Genomic DNA, 19,164 nt, shown 5'->3' on the forward strand with positions numbered 1-19,164 from the left:
ATAAGCCAGATCTCCCTGTTGGCACCTGGGCCACCAAGAAGACTATCCCAGCAGGGTTTTCCTGGAGCTTTCACCTCCAGCCATGTGGGGCCGGGCAGGGGTGGGAGACGCCCCGCATTAAAGAAGGAGACAGGCTGCTCTCCTCATCCTGTCTGGAATGGACTGCCTTCTAGAAGGGTGGTGCAGGAGGGAGGAATTGGGGTCTTCCCTCAGCCAGGCCCAGCCCTGTTCATCCTGAAGTGTGCCACCACAGATCACCCCCTTGAGGTGACTCTGCAGCATGATGTGAGGGACAGGAACTAAACAGGGAACTAGGGGCCCTGGGCATTCACCCTCCAATCTATCATTAACTCCATGAGCTTGGGCCAGACAAACTAATGTCTCTGCGCTTCAGGTTTTTCCTCTATGAAGTGAAGAATTCTCACATGAAGACTTTGATGCATCCTTCTGACTAATGTTTTATGACTCCTGTATTCAAGATTGGGCTACCCTCCCACCCACTTTTCTCAAGGGGTTTGACCCTCAGAACTGTCTGCGATGGGCTTCCTCAGGGGCAAGGTGTTTCCCTTCACTGGAAGTGTTTAAACAAAAGCTGAACAGTCATTTTGTAGGGATGTTATGGAAGCAATTTGAGGACCAGCTGGGAGTTTGAATCAGATAGGGTAAACATAACACAAAATTTTGTTTATGAGTTTCAAGAGGTCGCTGACCCTTTGAAGCCATCCATAGATGCCCTAAATAATTAAGGGCCCCTAGACCAGAAGTTCTCAACTTCAGCTGAATGTTACCAACCACTGGGGGAGATTTAAAATGTATTGAAGCCTGGGCAATGTGGCGAACCCTGTCTCTACGAAAAATACAAAAAATTAGCCAGGCATGGTAGTATGCACCTGTAGTCCCTGCTACTTAGGAAGAGGCAGGAGGATCACCTGAACCCAGGTGGTCAAGGCTGCAGTGAGCCGAGATTGCACCATTGCACTCCAGCCTGGGCAATGACAGTGAAACTCTGTCTCAAAAAAATAAATAAAATAAAATAAAATAAAATAAAATAGAGTAGAATAGAATAGAATAGAATAGAATAGAATAGAATAGAATAGAATAGAATAGAATAGAATAGAATAGAAAATATTGATGCTAGGGTCCCAAGCCCAAGGATTCTGATTCAGGAATGGGGCTTGGACATCAGCAATTTTTAAAAGTACCCCAAGTGGTTGTAATGTTTGGCCAGGATTGAGAATAATTAGTTTAGGCTAAAGAATTTTCAAAGTCCTTTTTATGATTCTTTGAGTAAGTGGTCTTCAGTATCATTCCAGCTCTAAAATGCTGTGGTGCTACAATAACACTTCAAAAGTATCTGGAGACAAGCCCTTTCATTCTTTTGGCTACTAGGACACTTTTTCATCCATTGATCTTAGAACAACAACAATAGCAATAACAGCCACAAAACACATAGGAAGTAAAAGTGGGACATTAATAAGCCGCAGGTTTGGCAGTTTGCATGGTATTGGTGAAGAGATGGACCACTAGATTATGTCAAGAATCAGCCCAAATAGGAAATGGCAGAGTGAGGATTTGAACAGAGTCTTCCTGACTCCAGAGCCTGCTTTGCCTCCACACTGTCTGTCTCATGTAGGGAGCTATGGTTCCCAATTTTCATCCTAAGTGCTACTGTTAACAAATATCTTGGTACAGTAAGAAAAATATAACTTAGCCACACCATTATCACCTAAGATGACTTAAACTATACAAGCTCTACTAATTCAAAATCCATACTAATTCAAAATCCATATACATTCCAATTTCAGACATAATAATTATAACAGGACTGTTCATGAAGATAGCATAGTAAGGCCGGGCACGGTGGCTCATGCCTGTAATCCCAGCACTTGGGGAGGACGAGGCAGGTGGATCACTTGAGGTCAGGAGTTCGAGACCAGCCTGGCCAACATGGTGAAACCCCGTCTCTACTAAAAACACAAAAATTAGCCAGGTGTGGTGGTGCATGCCTGTAGTCCCAGCTGCTTGGGAGGCTGAGGCAGGAGAATCTCTTGAACCTGGGAGGTGAAGGTTGCAGTGAGCTGAGATTGAGGCAGTGAGCTGAGATTGAGCCACTGCACTCCAGCCTGGGTGACAGCGAGACTCTGTCTCAAAAAAAAAAAAAATCAGTATGCTTCTACCACATTTGCCTTAAATGTTTTGGTCAAATGGAATGAATCTTGCTTTGAAAACACCTTATAAACCTCCTGAATGCTACAGAAATTGAGCTGGTTGGTAACAGGTACTCCACCTTCCCCACCCCCTACAACACTGACAGCATTTCAAGGACCTTGGAAAGGGGAGAAATTCCTAATAATAGAGCACCACGGAATTACCTGGATGGAAGTGCAAACACTGGCCACAGAGTCGGGCCCGTGGCTCTGGATGTATTGTGTTGGGTCAGAAGCTCAGAGGGAACAAAGGAGTGGGGACAGTACCTGTGAGTTTGTTTTAAGAAGGGCAGGAAAGCCGATAGGTTGGCTGAAAGGGCCTGGAAGAGAGGATATCACTTTCACCCAGGTCTTATTTAAACCATTCTACGTAGGTGCAAATTTAGTCTCTTTTTAAAGATTACCAGGAAAGGGGATTCTACTGTCTCTCTTAGTAGCTTATCCTTTTATTAGAAGTCAATTTTATGCCTAGTCTTTGATTATTGTTCATTTTTTTCTATTTTATTTGCCTCTTGTTGCATACTCATAAGAAATCATTTTGCACTGATGAAAACAACTCTTTCCCTGTTGCTCCAGAGCAGAGTGAATTGTACAAAACAAATTCTTGAATCTAAAGTTCATTACAAGGTGGTTGTTTGGATTGAACACAGGCTGCCCCTGAGGAATGGCAGGTTCTGCAGGAAAATAGCCAAGTGCAAAAGCCTATTTGACCCCATGTACATCTACACCTGATAAATTCTCATCAGCCCTTTAAAAAAGTTTCTGACCAGGGCCGGGCGCGGTGGCTCACGCCTGTAATCCCAGCACTTTGGGAGGCCGAGGCGGGTGGATCATGAGGTCAGGAGATCGAGACCATCCTGGCTAACAAGGTGAAACCCCGTCTCTACTAAAAATACAAAAAATTAGCCGGGCGCGGTGGTGGGCGCCTGTAGTCCCAGCTACTCGGGAGGCTGAGGCAGGAGAATGGCGTGAACCCGGGAAGCGGAGCTTGCAGTGAGCCGAGATTGCACCACTGCAGTCCGCAGTCCGGCCTGGGCGACAGAGCGAGACTCCGTCTCAAAAAAAAAAAAAAAAAAAAAAAGTTTCTGACCAGGTGCAGTGGCTCACACCTGTAATCCCAGCACTTTGGGAGGCCGAGGGGACCGGATCACCTGAGGTCAGGAGTTCGAGACCAGCCTGACCAATATGGAGAAACCCCGTCTCTGCTAAAAATACAAAATTAGCTGGGCATGGTAGTGCATGCCTGTAATCCCAGCTACTCGAGAGGCTGAGGCAGGAGAATCACTTGAACCCGGGAGGCGGAGGTTGCGGTGAGCCGAGATTGCACCATTGCACTCCAGCCTGGGCAACAAGAGTGAAACTCCATCTCAAAAAAAAAAGTTTCTGTGAGGAATGCTTGCTTTACTAAAAAAAGAAAACGGGCAGAATAGACTTTGAGGACGTACTTCTAAGGCACATTAGATTTTGTGATAATGCGCATAAATGTGTGTGTGGTGTGTATGTGTATGCATATATATTTGTAAGTACCTGGATCTGGATCCCCTTAAAATCCACATCATTAGGCTCACATTTGCCTCAGGCAGCAAGGCCACCATAACTTGGCAGATGGGGTGTTGCGACTAGCAGGTGGCCAGAGTCAAGGAGGAGGCCACCTTTCTGGCTGGCACCTCTGTTTTTAAGGACCACACCATTTATGCACTCGGATAAACTATCTCTATCTTTAGGGCTTCTTTGCTTTCTTGTCCTTTCTGACATACAGACTCAGAAGCCATTGAATTGAGCCTTCTCCTGTAGGAACCCACTCTACAACCTCCGTGAGAAATGGTCCTCAGCATTGGAGGTTGGACCGGATTCTCTAAGGCCTCTGCCAGCATCATGACACAATGCATTATGCCCAGAAATCTGGGTGGTGTAACTATCTTCAGGATGCCTACAGTCTAGTTGGGGGAAACATTGTTGTATGAGAGCAATGATTACATGTCCTCTAGTACTAGATAGGACAGGCACAAGGGAGGCTTTAGACAGAGCATTTAAATTCGTCTTAAAGAATCAGAGAAGTCTTCAGCCTCAATTCAAAGATGTTTGTCTTGAGTACTGGTTGGGAGTAACATTTGTTCCCAGAGCTCTTATGGGACCTTATTATATACTAGCCAGTCAACCCTTAAAAGACCCAATCTAGATTAAATTTCTCTGAATTCTTAACACCAAGAAAGGTTACCCAGAATTTTTAAAATGTCATCCCTACTGCTCAACACCAACGCATAAGGCCGATTATGGAGAAGGTCAAGAATCCCAATGTTAACACTGTTGAGTACTCTCATGGGAAAACATGGGAGTGTGGACCACCATGGATAGTTCTCTCCCTAAAAAAGGAGAAGCAGAATGTTTAAATGCCATAAAGTTATGGTCAAGAGAGACAAGGAGTAGGGGACACAGGCTGAGACATGACAGCATTTAGCCTCCTAAACCGGATGAGCAGAGTTTTCTCCGGTTCTGTTTGAGTATTTTCCCTTTTTGGCCTGCTCTAAAAGGACAGAGTTCCCTACTGCCTACGTTCCTTATTCTGTGTTCCCTGAACGGTGACACCCAGTTTTGGCTTGGACAACCAGGTGGATGGAGGTGCCATTCTGCCATAGAGAGCAGTGCTTCCCAGATCTGGAGGTGTATTGGAATCATGTGGGGAGCCTGTTAAAAATTCAGATTCCTGGGCTCTACCCTAAGAGATTCTTAGGCACAAGATCATAGTGGAAGCTGAGACTCTATTTTTAATGAATTCCCCCAGGTGACACTCTTACAGTCAGTCTGTGGACTAGAGTTTGGGAACCACTAACACTAGGACACAGCAAGAGCTAGTTGGGGTACGGGGAATAATTGAGAAGATGGTGAGTTCAGTTGGTTTTTGGTTTTTGGTAGAGACGGGGTCTCCCTGTGTTGCCCAGGCAGGTCTGAAACTCCTAGACTCAAGCTCTTCTCTCACCTCAGCCTCCCAAAGTGCTGGGATTATAGGCGCAAGCCACCGCACCGGCCTGAGTTCAGTATTAAATATGCCATGCAACATCCAAGTGAAGATACTTTGTGGACAGTTGGTTAAAATGGTCTGGAGAGATAGGTGATTCAGAGGCTATCAGCACCTATGTGGTTATTTCAGTAATGGAAGTGGGTAAGATGGCTCAGGTGTTAACATATAAATAACAACAGAGGCCAAGCCCTCAGCCCTGGAAGGTTTCTGTCTCTAAGCCAGTTTGGTTGGGCACAGCTCTTAGGGTTTTGTTTTGCTTTTTAAATAGATTATGGTAGCTAGCAAAGAATTTATAGTACAATCTCACCACTACCACATTCTATAAGCGAAATCAAGTTTCAGATCACATTGTACCACACTGACATTTTTAAATGAAACGGTAATTAACAAGAGAGTTGAAAATGGTGTATGAGAACTCTTTCTCATGTAGGCTTGAGAACATCCCATTGTTTAGGTGCTTTGATCACCATCTTGAATGAAAGGTTTACTCAAGGCAACTGTCTGGATTTCAGAGCTAAGGTTTCTTCCCTGATAGCTGGCATCAAGTCACCAGAATTCCCCAGAGTTGAAAGATGGATGGAAGACCATTTACACAGGGCAAAATCCTTTGTAACACCCTATTCATATAAAACTGGGAGGAGCAGAAAATATACTTAACTATTTACACATCTTGAATACTTTTAAAAATTTTTATTTATATTTATTTATTTATTTGAGATAGGGTCTCCCTCTATCGCCAGGCTGGAGTGCAGTGGCATGATCTCGGCTCACTGCAACCTCTGCCTCCCAGATTCAAGTGATTCTCTTGCCTCAGCCTCCAGAGTAGCTGGGACTACCGGCATCTGCCACCATGCCAAGCTAATTTTTGTATTTTAAGTAGAGACCAGGTTTCACCATGTTAGCCAGGCTGGTCTTGAACTCCTGACCTCAGGTGATCCACCCATCACGACCTCCCAAAGTGCTGGAATTACAGACATGAGCCACAAAGCCCGGCCCCGTCCTGTTTTAAAAAAATAGTCTCTCTCTCTCTCTGTTGCCCAGGCTGGAGTGAAGTAGCAAGATCATAGCTCACTGCAGTCTTGAACTCTTGCATTCAAGTGATCCTCTTGCTTCACCTTACCAAATAGATAGGACTACATGTGCATGCCACCACGCCTGGCTAATTTTTTAATTTTTCTGTAGAGACCAGATCTTGCCATGTTGCCCAGGCTGGTCTTGAACTCCTGGCCTCAAGTGATCCTCCTGCCTCGGCCTCCCAAAGTGCTGAGATTATAGGAGTGTGCCACCGAAGCCAGCTCCTTGAATACCTTTATTTTTACCATCTAGAACCCCTTTCAGATATTGAGAATGCTAGTAAATAGTCCACCATGTGTACCAATTAAAACCCATTTTTGCAGTTAGGTGTGGTAATTGGTAAAGCATCAGATGTTACCAGATACAGATAATAGAACCTCTATAAATAGCTGCCTCCAGAGTATGGCTTTCCTGATTAGAATGCTGGCTGACCACCCTGGACTGTGCATATTTTATTGGAATGCTGACAGCACTTGGATTGTAGGTTAATTTGAGAAGCACCCATAATGTCACAATATGCATGTAGAAGCATTCTAATGTAAATAACTGAAATCATACTAAAAGATGGTAAAAAGGAAAAAAAGTGAGAGTCAGAAGATAGGCCATCAGAATAGAACACTCTAAGGCAGATGTAAAAGTGGGTGAGCTTTGGATGCTACCGAGAGGTCAAGTAAGTAATAAAAAGACTAAAATGAGTCCGTGGCTTTGACAACAGGAAGCCACTTGACCTTGATGAGAACGATTTCATGAAGTAGTGGCACAGGAGTCTTGCTGTGGAGGGAGGATGGACAAGGGAGGTGAATACAGAAGATAAGCACCTTTTTTTTTTTTTTTTTGAGACAGAGTCTCACTCTGCCTCCCAGGCTGGAGTGCAGTGGCACGATCTCAGCTCACTGCAACCTCCGCCTCCTGGGTTTAAGCGATTCTCCTGCCTCAGCCTCCCGAGTAGCCGGGATTACAGCATGCGCCACCACACCCGGCTAATTTTTGTATTTTTAGTAGAGACGGGGTTTCACCTTTTTGGCCAGGCTGGTCTCAAACTCCTGACCTCAGGTGATTTGCCCACCTTGGCCTCCCAAAGTGCTGGGTTTACAGGTGTGAGCTATGGTGCCCGGCCACTATAAGCACCTTTTTTAAGAGACAAAGAAGAAAGATGTGGAGCAGACACCAGATAAGTTTGAAAGACACATTTTGTTCATGTCGTGATTTTCATTTGTTGGCTTTAAGATAGAGGAATCATGTGCATGATTAAATGTAACCTATATAGAAAGCATGTATAGAAATGTAGCCTGGGCCGGGCACAGTGGCTCACACCTGTAATTCCAGCACTTTGGGAGGCCGAGGCGGGCAGATCACCTGAGGTCAGGAGTTCAAGACCAGCCTGGCCAACAAGGTGAAACCCTGTCTCCACTAAAAATACAAAAATTAGCCGGGCATGGTGGTGGGTGCCTGTAATCCCAGCTACTCAGAAGGCTGAGGCAGGAGAATCGCTTGAGCCCAGGAGGTGGAGGCTGCAGTGAACCAAAATCACACCACTGCACTCCAGCCTGGGAGACAGAGCGAGACTCCGTCTCAAAAAAAAAAAAAAAAAAGGAATGTAGCCTGTACAGGGAAGCAGCTTGCATAGAAAAAGGCCGAAAAGCTAGGAGAGAGTAAAACCAACCTAACCAGATCGGGAGATGTGTAGGTGGAGGTGCTATGGTACCTAAGAGGAAGGTGCATTTCCATAATAATGAGAGGGAGGAAGTAATTGTGAATCGCAGGGTAGTGTACTTAATTTGTGTTTAGATGGGTTTTTGGTGTAGGCCTGTGTATATTTTGTGCATAAAAAGAACTACTCAAATGTTTAATTGGGTTTAAACAATTCGTGTTCCATCTATGAAGATGACAAACTGAAAAACCCAATCCTTAGGCTTCACGTGAATCTCACAAATCTCACTGTTTAGAAGTCCAGCAAAATCAAACAGTCACTTTCAAGGTACTTTTGGTTAATGTTTGATTTGGTCCTTTTTACCAAGTTACACACGTTTAAATACTTTAAACTGCATTTATAATATATTCTACTTCCTTTTAAAGTACCTGAATTATCTACTTATACAAAACCTTGCTAAGTACTTAATAATTGTTATAAAGCTACTAAAATAAATTTACAGAGTTGACTTAAAGACTCTTAATAATGTGCGGAAACTTGGGATGATTTCAGCTTAAAATCAGAAGTCTAATAATTCAATTATTCATTTTTGATTGATTTTCAAAAACTGTCACTCTAATAGGTCAGATTCCTTCAACATTAGTAGTACAGAAAAGAACAAATATGCCCAAAAATATGAATAGCGTATCTTCCATGCTTTCAACCTTTCTATGTTTAATTTTTAAATCTTCCCAAAGTTGAATGATGCATACTTACCAAGGAAGAAAATTAGCTGGAAATAACTGAGGCCATTTTCAATCAGATATTTTGACAAGAGTTTCAGACTCCAGAGCAATTTTCATCCTCCCAGCTGTCATACTGACCCCCTTTTTAGCGTAGCTATGTCATGAGTTACAAAAATTAAAAAGTGTTGATCACCCTATGAGTTACAAAACTCACAGGTTTCATTGCCCACATCCCTGGATACAAGTTATACGCAGCACCTGATTCTTGATCTGCTCAAGGAAATAGAAGAACCAAGTTGCTCCTTCAGCTTTAAGATAAGTACATATGTTTTCCATCTAAATGATAAAGGCCTTTGAATTTGATGGAGTTCTGGGATTTTACTTTTTTCTATCTAATAATACCTTTAAACTTGATAGCTTAAAATAAATGCATTTTCTATTTAATGATAAAGACCTTTAAATGGGATACTAGATATGAAAATGTCTTTCCTATTTAAAGAACGTTGAACTTGGGCCAGGTGCAGTCACCCGTAATCCTAGCACTTCGAGAGACCAAGATAGAAGGATCACTTGAGGCCATGAGATCAAGACCAGCCTGGGCAACATAGTGAGATCCTGTCTCTACAAAAAATAATTTTTAAAAATTACCTAAGTGTGGTGGTGCATGCCTGTAATCTCAGCTACTTGGGAGGCTGAGGCAGGAAGATCACTTAAGCCCAGGAGTTGGAGGATGTAGTGAGCTATTATCATACCACACACTCCAGCTTGGGCAACAGAGCGAGACTCTGTCTCCTAAAAAGAAAAAAGAACTGTGAACTTGATGGAATCCTACATTCTTTCTTAGTACCACACAAAGGTTTAGATGTTTAAATGATTTCCAGTTGAGTTTTGAATATCCCTTTTGATTAAGCCAAATCTAATTTGCTGTTATAAGAGTTATGGGGAGCAGGCAGGAAGCTGAGAGAGTTCTCATCTGATGGCTTTTTTTCCTCTATGTATTAGGATGTGAAGTTGTCTATGGAAGGAGGTGGGAGTTATGGGGGAAGGGTGAGAAAAACGTCTTTAAATCCCTCTATTGGTAATAGGCAATCTGAGCAGCTCCATGCTGCCTGTTGTAGCATCTCCTAATTGTGTGACATTAAGTCCATTTAAAGTGGAGACCATATTCATGATGAGATATATTTATAATTCATGCTTAACATTTTTTATATTAAATATGTGTATTTAATCATTTGAATATTTACCATTTGATAACATATTTATAGCTGATCAAGAAGTCACAGCTCAATGTCAAAGGACTTTATTAATAAAGCAATTGAAGTAGTCACTTATTATACAGCAAAAAGTTCTAGACTCATTTAACATTTATTTCCATTTGCTAGTCAATTACCAGCTGTCAGAACATAATAAATATTATAAATTTGAGTCAGAAGCTGTCACCTCTAATTGTATTAACTCTTCCTAATCATAGGTAGTGATTTGTCCTGTGAAAGAATGATATTAATCACTGATTTCCATCTGTCTTCATAATGGTGTAAAATTGCTACTGGATTCCATTGCTGAAGTGAAGTAAATCAATGTAGACACCAAAAATGAAAGCAGGCAGTGATGAGTCATGAATATTTCCATTCATGTTAACAAGCTTCTCATTGTTTCCAGACAGAAAGAAAAAAAAAATGACAGCTAACTTTCAAAGCTTTTTGCTTCTTAGTCTTAAAAGCATAGTTTCTTCTTATTATTTCTAGCTCACACTTTTGGAGTACTTCTTATATGCCAGGCACTATGCTCGCAACATTATATGAATTATTTCTTTTGATCTTCACGAACCGGTGAGGTTATTGGTTCCTATACTTATGGCTCTTATGCCACTATTGTTTGCATTTTATAATGAGGAAATGAAGGCTTAAAACAATTTGAGTAACTTGTTGTCCAAAACAGTAGAGCCTGGAGTCAAACCCAAGCAATTTAACTTCCATAACTCAGTCTCAACCAGTACTCTACACTGATGGGTGGCATTTGAATCAGTTAGGAATGCTTTTGAGTCAAAGTAACTAAAATCCAACATATAGTAGTTCACAAAATAGTGATTTTTTTTCTCTCACTTAATACAAAGAATGGAGATAGGCAGCTACTTATGTTGGTTTAGTAGCTCAGCGGAGCCAGGACCAGTGACTGAGACTCCTTGGCCTTTCCCTTGAGGCAGCAAAAATGACTGCTTCAATTTGAAGCTTCAGGTCCACATTCAGGGCAGAAAAAAGAGAAGGGGAAAGAGTGGGCACTCGCTGTAACTATAATGTATCATGAAAGCAAAAACTTTTCCATTTATATATCTCATTGGTTGAAAACTGTTTCATATGGCCATCCTTATCTGCAAGGGTAGAAAATAACAAGGGAGGCTGGGCATGGTGGCTCACACCTGTATTCCTAGCACTTTGGGAGGCCAAGGGGGCGGATCATGAGGTCAAGAGATCAAGACCATCCTGGCCAAAATGGTGAAACCTCGTCTCTACTAAAATAGAAAAAATCAGCCAGGCGTGGTGGTGCGCAACTGTAGTCTCAGCTACTTGGGAGGCTGAGGCAGGAGAATGGCGTGAACCCGGGAGGTGGAGCTTGCAGTGAGCTGAGATCGCACCACTGCACTCCAGCCTGGTGACAGAGCAAGACTCCGTCTCAAAAAAAAAAACAAAAAAAAACAGCAAGGGAGTTGGGAGTTGGGGATGACTAATGGACCAGCTGTGAGTCAAAAGTTATGGAATCTACAAACTCTGTAGGAATTTTCCACTGCCTCCTTACTTTCTTTCTGCCCGCCCTTCCTTCTTTCCTTCCTTCCTTCTTCTCTTTTGAGTAAAAAAGAGCTATGATTCTCCATACAGGTAACTCATAGAATATTTATTCTTGCCTTGTTTTCTAGAATGTGTTCCCAGATAGAAAGAGAAAGCTGTGGTTCCCTACTTGAGTTAGGACTCATTGGTTGCAAGTAACAGAAACACGCATACCTGAGAAAATGGATGAGTTTCAGCCATTTATTCAACAAATATTTATTAAGCATTCATTATATTCCAAGCACTCTTCTAAGCTCTGAGAGTATATCAGTGAATAAAACATTTAAAAAAATGAACAAGAATATGAGAGAATCTCATAGAACCCAAAGATCAGAAAGCAGCAGGGCCTTCAGAGGGACAGAAACCAGGGACTGAGAAGCTGTCAGGAATCCAAACAGCAGCTCTAAGCCAGTCTCCATTCTGCTCACTCTGCCTTCTCTTAATTCTTAGTCTGCGTGGTGGATATAACAGGGTCATCCACATAGCCTGAGTTTTCAACTTCTGTTCATGCACACAGTTCACACTGAACCACAGTCTCTCAGTTCCAATTCCAAAAACCTAGGCAAACGAATTGGAATCCACTGAGGTCAGGGACAGTCTTATCCCTGTGTTATAGGAGTCACTATGAGTGAAGCAGGGCACCTTGAATCAAAGGTTTCTACCTTGCAAGCCTTCCTGTCACTACTGCCCATCCATCGCCAGGTGTATTGACGCTTTTTAGACACTTTGCCCATCATCCATGCCAAAGCACCTGCCTACTGCCCCAGAGTTTAAAAGTTAACTCTACCTTGAAGAGCACATTTTTTAAGCCCTGTAAGAATTGCCTGGGTCCAGATCATTTTGAACTTTTTCAAATCCCTCTTGTGCCCTCATGCGTATCTTTTTCCCATGCAGCCTTTTCCCTGTCTTCTAAATAATAAGAGAGAATCGAGGCTCAGTTAACATCAAACTCCCTTCTCACTTCAAACCAAGCCTTCAGAAGCCAACATCAGCACTAATCAATTTGGTTCCAAAGTACACATTGCAGTGTGGTTTGGGATATTCTTTTATGACCCTTATAAACTATAAGCCAATTAGATACGGTTGTTGGTGATTCTTTTCCAAACCTCCTCTTTGTTTCAAACCAATAGGTGTTTTTCCATTCAGAGATATACTGAATTTCTGACCTGTGGCTAATTTGTTTTTCTCCAGGCTGTGGATTCCCCTCCAAGTGGAGGAGGATGGGCAGGCTGGGGATCCTGGGGCAAATCTCTGCTGTCGTCAGCATCTGCCACAGTAGGTAAGCATTGTATGTTGCATTGGAATAGACAAAGTACCAAAGCCTAATAGGATAGGACGTTTTGATCGTACTGTATACTAATAGAGTTTAACATTAGCCCGTGAGCAAACCATGTTTAGTGCTTACTATTCTAAGTGCTTCATTTATTCCTCCAATACATTTGTTCCTCAAAATAACCCTATATGGAGGAACTGTTGTTTGCTGCACTTTACAGGTAAGGAAGCTAATCAGAGAGAGACTAAGACCTTGACCAAAGTCAGGAATGTCTGGGTTGCAATTTAAAAGCCAAGTAGTATGGCTTTTAGCCACTATATTATATGGTCTTTTAAAGTATAATATATTCTTAAAGCTTCGTGTTTATCGTCCCACTTGAATTTTTTTAGTGCACAACGCATCTACTCCCAAAAAGGATTTGAGATATCTTGATAAAAGGCATTTCATTAGCAGGATATTACAATATAAGGAGAAAACAATGTGCTGGTAGGGAGGATACATATTTTATACATCCCATGGCTAATAGAGTTTTTGTAATTGAGTATTGACCTCAACTCTGAGCTTCTTGGCTGCCAGTACATTATTTATTTCTCTTTGAAAACAAAATTTTAATTTAAATAAATATATTTTTCTGGTTTTAAATTTTTAAAGAAATTTCCTGTATTTGTTCTTATACAAAGAGAAAATATGATGGACAGTGTAGTGTCTTCCTGAGTGCAAATTTGTCATGATATTCTTCATGTTACCATTTCTTATATTCTCTCTTCATGAGAACTGAAGGTATAACATCAATATGTCTAAGATAATTTAGCAAAGGCATTTCATCTTGAAGGTGGAAGATAAGAAGATAGGGGAAGCCACAGGTAACAGAGTTTTCACATCATCCACTTCAGGTATTCTAAGGTGCAGTCCATGGCCATGAGGACCTTGCGATAGGCCATGAATTGGTCCACTTCACTGTTACTCCTAAAACCAGGAAGGTCTTCAGGCCTTTTGCCCCACCCCAGTGGACCATGACCACAGTGTTAAGGGCCAGATATCTAACTTGACAGAGCTTAGGCTGCCTGGAAGAATGGATAGATTGCATTCCTCTAATTCCATCTCTGTCAAATATCAGTTTGCTCAGGAAGGCTCTGGGAAGAAGTAGCAATGGCCAAATAAATGTTGACCTCTCTGGTAAGCCTGGAGAGCAGATTTTCTCTATTGCTTATTAAGGGGATGGCTATGCCTTGAGTACCACATATGCAGATGACAAATTTAACTAAATTCAAGTAGAGGCGCCTGTTTTGTTTTCTGAACAGGATGCTATCTCTTCACAAGGGTGAGGACAAGCACCTGCAGGCATCCTCTGTCCTTGGAAAAATGTTTGAACTTAGTGGCTATCAAAAGGATCTTGCCACTGGTGGCACTTAGAAGTGACATGCTTTCTAAGCCAAAAACTAAAAAGGAGGTTCTAAAAGATTGTTTTAATTGGAATAAGTCATGAAAAAGTAAATAATATGGTCACTAAAATTATACAGCTCTTCTCGTGGTTTATATCATAAAACAGTCATGTGTCCTGGATGTTTCCAGTTTTAACCGCATCCAAACCACTCTGGTTTATAATGAATTGGTGGTTCGAGGGTTCTAGTATAGATGGAGGACTTACTCTTTCATTAAACTTTTAAATATAAGTTCCTGCCACAGTAAACACAGAAATCATCTGCTCTGTGGTAGCAGCTATAGGTGCTCTCTGTGCACACTTAAAGGTGCATCTCCCTGTAACTGCTCTAGCCCTGGTTGGTCAGACCATTTGCTGTTGTTTCTCATTCAGTGTCTGTACCTCATTTGACTTTGGGCTTTGTTGGACCCTCCCAAGGTTTTCTGTCCATGAACTGACAGCTCTCCCATTGAATTTACTATCCAGCACCTTCTTAGGTGTCTTGCTATAATCTGACCTTTGCACACATGCAGCTTTGGTTCCAGTGGATGGTGCTCCAAGGCCTCCGGGTTTTGTCACCTGGTTCACATGTAACCAGTAGATGGCGCTGACTTTACTGCTTAAAAAGTGGGATGTGGCCAGGCATGGTGGCTCACGCCTGTAATCCCGGCACTTTGGGAGGCCGAGGTGGATGGATCATTTGAGGTCAGGAGTTCAAGACCAGCCTGGCCAACATGGTGAAAACCCATCTCTACTAAAAATACAAAAATTAGCTGGACGTGGTGGTGGGTGCCTGTAGTCCCAGCTACATGGGAGGCTGAGACAGGAGAATTGCTTGAACCCAGGAGGTGGAGGTTGCAGTGAACAGAGATTACGCCCCTGCACTCCAGCCTGGGCAATAGAATGAGAGTATGTCTCAAAAAAAAAAAAAAAAAAAAAAAAAAGCAGGGTGTGATTTTTCACAGCAGGTCCCTTTTGACTTGATCCGACGTCATTGTCTTAATCTGCGGCCTGTGCTTGTGTTTGGGGTTGCTCTTAAAGTTTCTCTGTGTCTGAGCCACCATGCAGATAATAAATACTGCATCTTGTTACTCTCACAACAATTTATAAATTGTGATGGTTCGCATCTGGCTCTGAGTAATCATTGATCCAGAAGAGCCTAGAGAGGTAAATTCCTGTAGGCCATCATGAGCATTGTGCCAGTCACATGGTCACTGTGCCATGAAAAATAATATCCCGCTTTTTAAGTAGTAATGTCAGCACCATCTACTGGTTATATTTGAACCAAGTAACAAAACCTAGAGGCCTTGGAGCACAGTCCACTGGAACCAAATCTGCACGTATGCAAAGATCAGATTACAAAAGGACACCTAAGAAGATGCTGGATAGTAAATTCAATGGGCGAGCTGTCAGTCCGTGGATGGAAAAACTTGCCACTTTTCTTCTAGGGTGAGTAAACACGTGGTTTCTCTGAGAGTGTATGACATTTGCACATTCCTCATGCAATATCAGAATGAAGTTCAGTATACCCTCTTGTATTAGTTTCTGTTGCTATGTAAGGAATTACCACAGTTAAAGAGGCTGAAAACAACATGCATTCATTATTTTACAGTTTCCGTGGGTCAAGAGTTCAGGTATGGGACAGCTGCTCATGTAAAATAATGTGAGCTTAACAGGCTAAAATCAGGGTGGCAGCCAGCTGTATTCTCATCTGAGGCTCACTTTTACCTGAGGCAGCATGGCCCTGGGGTTGACACTATGCTTGTACATAATGGAAGTTGTTCCTCGCTTGCCTCTCTCAATCCCAAGATAATGGCTCAACATAGACCACAGATCAGGAAGGCACCCATAACTTTAAAGTCTCTGGAGGATAGGGTGGTGCAGCTAGAAGGGGGCCCAGAGTCGAAGATGAGGCCAGTGGCTCTGCCAGCTGCTCAGCTGGCACCTCTGCTTTGAAGACGTCATCTTTCAGGGTCATTCACGTTGTTGGCAGAATTCAGATTTTGAAGTTGTAGGACTGAGGTCCCTGTTTTCCTGCTGATTATTGACCAGGGCTCACTTTCAGCTCTTAGAGGCTGCCCTCAGGTCCTCCTTCAAAGCCAGCAGGAAAATCTCTCTCATGCTTCAAATCGCTACCTTCAGGAAGGGCCCCTTTGTTTTAAAGACGCTCCTGATTAGTTCAGGCGCACTAAGGATGATCTCTCTTTTGAGTCACTGAAATTCAACTGATCAAGGACCTTAATTACATGTGAAAATTCTCCCCATCATTGCTGGATAGAGTAACCTAATCACAGGGGTGAAATCCCATCCTGTTTACACTCCGGCTCACACTCCAAAGGGAAGGGATCACATAGGGTGTATACATCTGGGGACAAGAATCTTGGGGCCGTCTCTCAATACGGTCATGCTTCACTTAACAATGGGAATACCTTCTGAGAAATGGGTCGTTGGGTGATTTAATCATTGTGCAAACCTCCAAAGTATACACAGACCTACACAGCTAGGCTATGTGGTAAAGCCTATTGCGCCGAGGCTGCAAACATAGGACAGCTTATTACTGTACTGAATACTGTAGGCAATTGTAACACAATAATAAGTATTTGTGTATTTCACACATCTAAACATAGAAAAGGCACAGGAAAAATACAGTATTATGATCTTATGGGACCACTGTCATAGATGTGGCCCGTCGTTGACCGTAAGTTTGTCATGTGGTGCATCCCGCCTACCTTAATTCTCTTCTCGTCTCTGTTTGAGATCTTTGTCAGTTACACCACCAATTACAGAACCTTAGTATTTTCTATGGTTCTGGCTACATGCTGGAATTTTGAAAAGCAAGGAAATCTTGGCATTTTTCTCTTGTTTGCATACAAAATGGCAAAGGGTACATGAGGAAAGTCATTAAAATTTTGAAATATTGATGCTCATTCTAAAAGTCCCTTTGGAGAAATTTTAGAGCTGTCTTTAGAAAAGCAGGTACTAAAATTGTTCATCACCACTGATCATCACTACCCACCTCCTCCCCCCAAAATGAATGCAATAGAAGTATAACTGAAAACCCTGCCTAAATTGCTCTTACTGCATATTTTGGAGATTTCTGATGAGGACATGCTGTGACTTTATGTAGTAATAGTAGTTAAAACAAAAGCAATGTATATTTCAAAATTGGACAAGTGTCTTTGTAGACCTGTACAGAACTAAAGCATGTAGCCTAACAGGAGGCTGAAGTCATGGGTTCCCAGGCTGGAAACAAGCACTGGTGGTTGGGAGTTTGACTGCTGAAAGGTAAGAGGGATCATAAGTTGCCCACACATGGAGCCAGGCTCACAGCCTGAAACAGGTTGGAATGGGGCTCAAAGATCTGTGAACAGAGAATTTAAAGTTATGTGTGCCTTCCTGATCTGTGGTCTATGTTGAGCCACTATCTTGGGATTGAGAGAGGCAAGCGAGGCACAATTTCTGCTATGTACAGGCATAGTGTCAACCCCAGGGCTTTACAGCATTAGCAGTTTATTATCATCAGGCAAAGAAACTTATTGGAAAACAGATCATTCACAGTAGTAGACAAGCTTTGAAGATTTATAAATTGCCTGTGGAAAGTAAGGAAAGAAAATAACCACATGTTCAATTGCAATTGATGTCTACTCAGAAACCTCATGTATACCCCCAGGGTAATTCCAGCTGCAGACAGGGGTGCAAAACATATAGACATTAACAAAACACAGAGCTGTCAATTGAGCACTAGAAATGGAAACCATTACCTCTAACAGTTGTTGAAAAACTGCAGTTAGAATAGTTAGAACTGTTGAGAGTTGGCAGGAGAATAACAGGAGAATAGAAACAATTGAAAAATGGTAATCTCTTGGAATGAGCACTGTACCATGAGTCATAAGACCTGAGACCTGGTCCTGAATGCTGCTAACTTGTGATCACAAGGCACTGTTACTAACTAGCTACACTGTGCCCTTAACCTAAGACTCAGGTTCTTTGTATGGAAAAACGTGGGTGAAAAAACTGGAGAAATTCTAAGGTCTCTTCCAACTTCCAGAATATGTTGATACCATATCCTGTGTCTATGCATAGAAGGAGAAAGATATTTGTGCCCACTGTGCTAAGTGGAAAAATACAGAAAATTAATTGAAATTATGTCTACTCTATTTTTATATTTTATCTTTTGCCTCAATACTCTTTCACTCTGAGGTTAAGGGAAAATGAGAAAAAGTGACCTTCCTAATGCTTATACAAAATCAAACATTTTTCAGCCAACAATTATTTTGGAGAGGACTTAACTCTTGCATTAGGCTCAACTACAGCTACACTGTCATCACATTCTTAGAAGATTTGATCACCTGTCACCCATGCCTTTGGACAAGTTTGTGAAATGAAGTAAGCTTGGTTATTATTTCCAGGCAGACACAAGAATAGAAAACATTTTAGAAAAGAGGGTTTTTGGGGAGGCTGAGGCAGGTAAATCAACTTGAGGTCAGGAGTTCAAGACCAGCCTGGCCAACATGGCAAAACCCCATCTCTACTAAAAAAAAAAAATACAAAAATTAGCTGAGTGTGGTGACATGCCCCTGTAGTACCAGCTGCTTGGAGGCTGCGACAGAAGAATCGCTTGAGCCTGGGAGATGGAGGTTGCAGTGAGCCAAGATTGCACCACTGCACTCCAGCCTGGGCAACAGAACAAGACTCTGTTTCAAAAAAAAAAAAAGAAAGAAAAAAGAAAAGAGGGTTTTGATAGTAGTTCCAAATCCCACAGGATCTTATAGACCTGACTTGCTTCCAAAATGTATTACTAGGCTAAGAGTGATAGACCAGTAGTCAAAATGAAAGTCAACAATGCTAAAACATGTATAAGTATACAAAAGGAAGAGCTCTATAGTAGAATACAGTAATTTATTTCTAGATACCACCAAAGGCTTAAATGTTTATTTGAAATTCTAGTTTTGACAGTTTTATGAGTTTAAACA

At 42.1% G+C, this 19,164-nt stretch overlaps 1 protein-coding gene across 10 annotated transcripts in view, besides 2 other annotated features; it reads left to right on the forward strand.

The window, feature by feature from the left end:
- The window catches only part of FAM114A1 (family with sequence similarity 114 member A1), a 77,934-nt gene that overhangs the window by 11,248 nt on the left and 47,522 nt on the right, over positions 1–19,164 (forward strand). For 9 of the 10 annotated variants that reach the window (NR_033290.2, NM_138389.4, NM_001330764.2 and 6 more), the window contains one exon: positions 12,690–12,777. Coding sequence is in view for 6 of the 10 variants with exons in the window: in NM_138389.4 (NP_612398.2) it covers positions 12,690–12,777 (88 nt within the window). In the remaining 4 variants the exon portion in view is untranslated. The remainder of the gene's footprint in view (positions 1–12,689; positions 12,778–19,164) is intronic. The other variant, NM_001350633.2, reaches the window with a different exon arrangement.
- Positions 5,661–5,830: an enhancer, noted in NCBI's record as "experimental_80048 CRE fragment used in MPRA reporter constructs". NCBI's record gives its function as "activates a minimal promoter by MPRAs in K562 erythroleukemia cells, with activity observed for the non-introgressed 4:38886420 variant allele {active_cell/tissue: K562}" and the evidence as "EXISTENCE:reporter gene assay evidence [ECO:0000049][PMID:34662402]".
- Positions 11,890–12,059: an enhancer, noted in NCBI's record as "experimental_80049 CRE fragment used in MPRA reporter constructs". NCBI's record gives its function as "activates a minimal promoter by MPRAs in K562 erythroleukemia cells, with activity observed for the introgressed 4:38892649 variant allele {active_cell/tissue: K562}" and the evidence as "EXISTENCE:reporter gene assay evidence [ECO:0000049][PMID:34662402]".

This window comes from Homo sapiens, chromosome 4, assembly GCF_000001405.40.
Source record: "Homo sapiens chromosome 4, GRCh38.p14 Primary Assembly".
In the NCBI taxonomy this organism is placed as follows: Eukaryota; Metazoa; Chordata; class Mammalia; order Primates; family Hominidae; genus Homo; species Homo sapiens.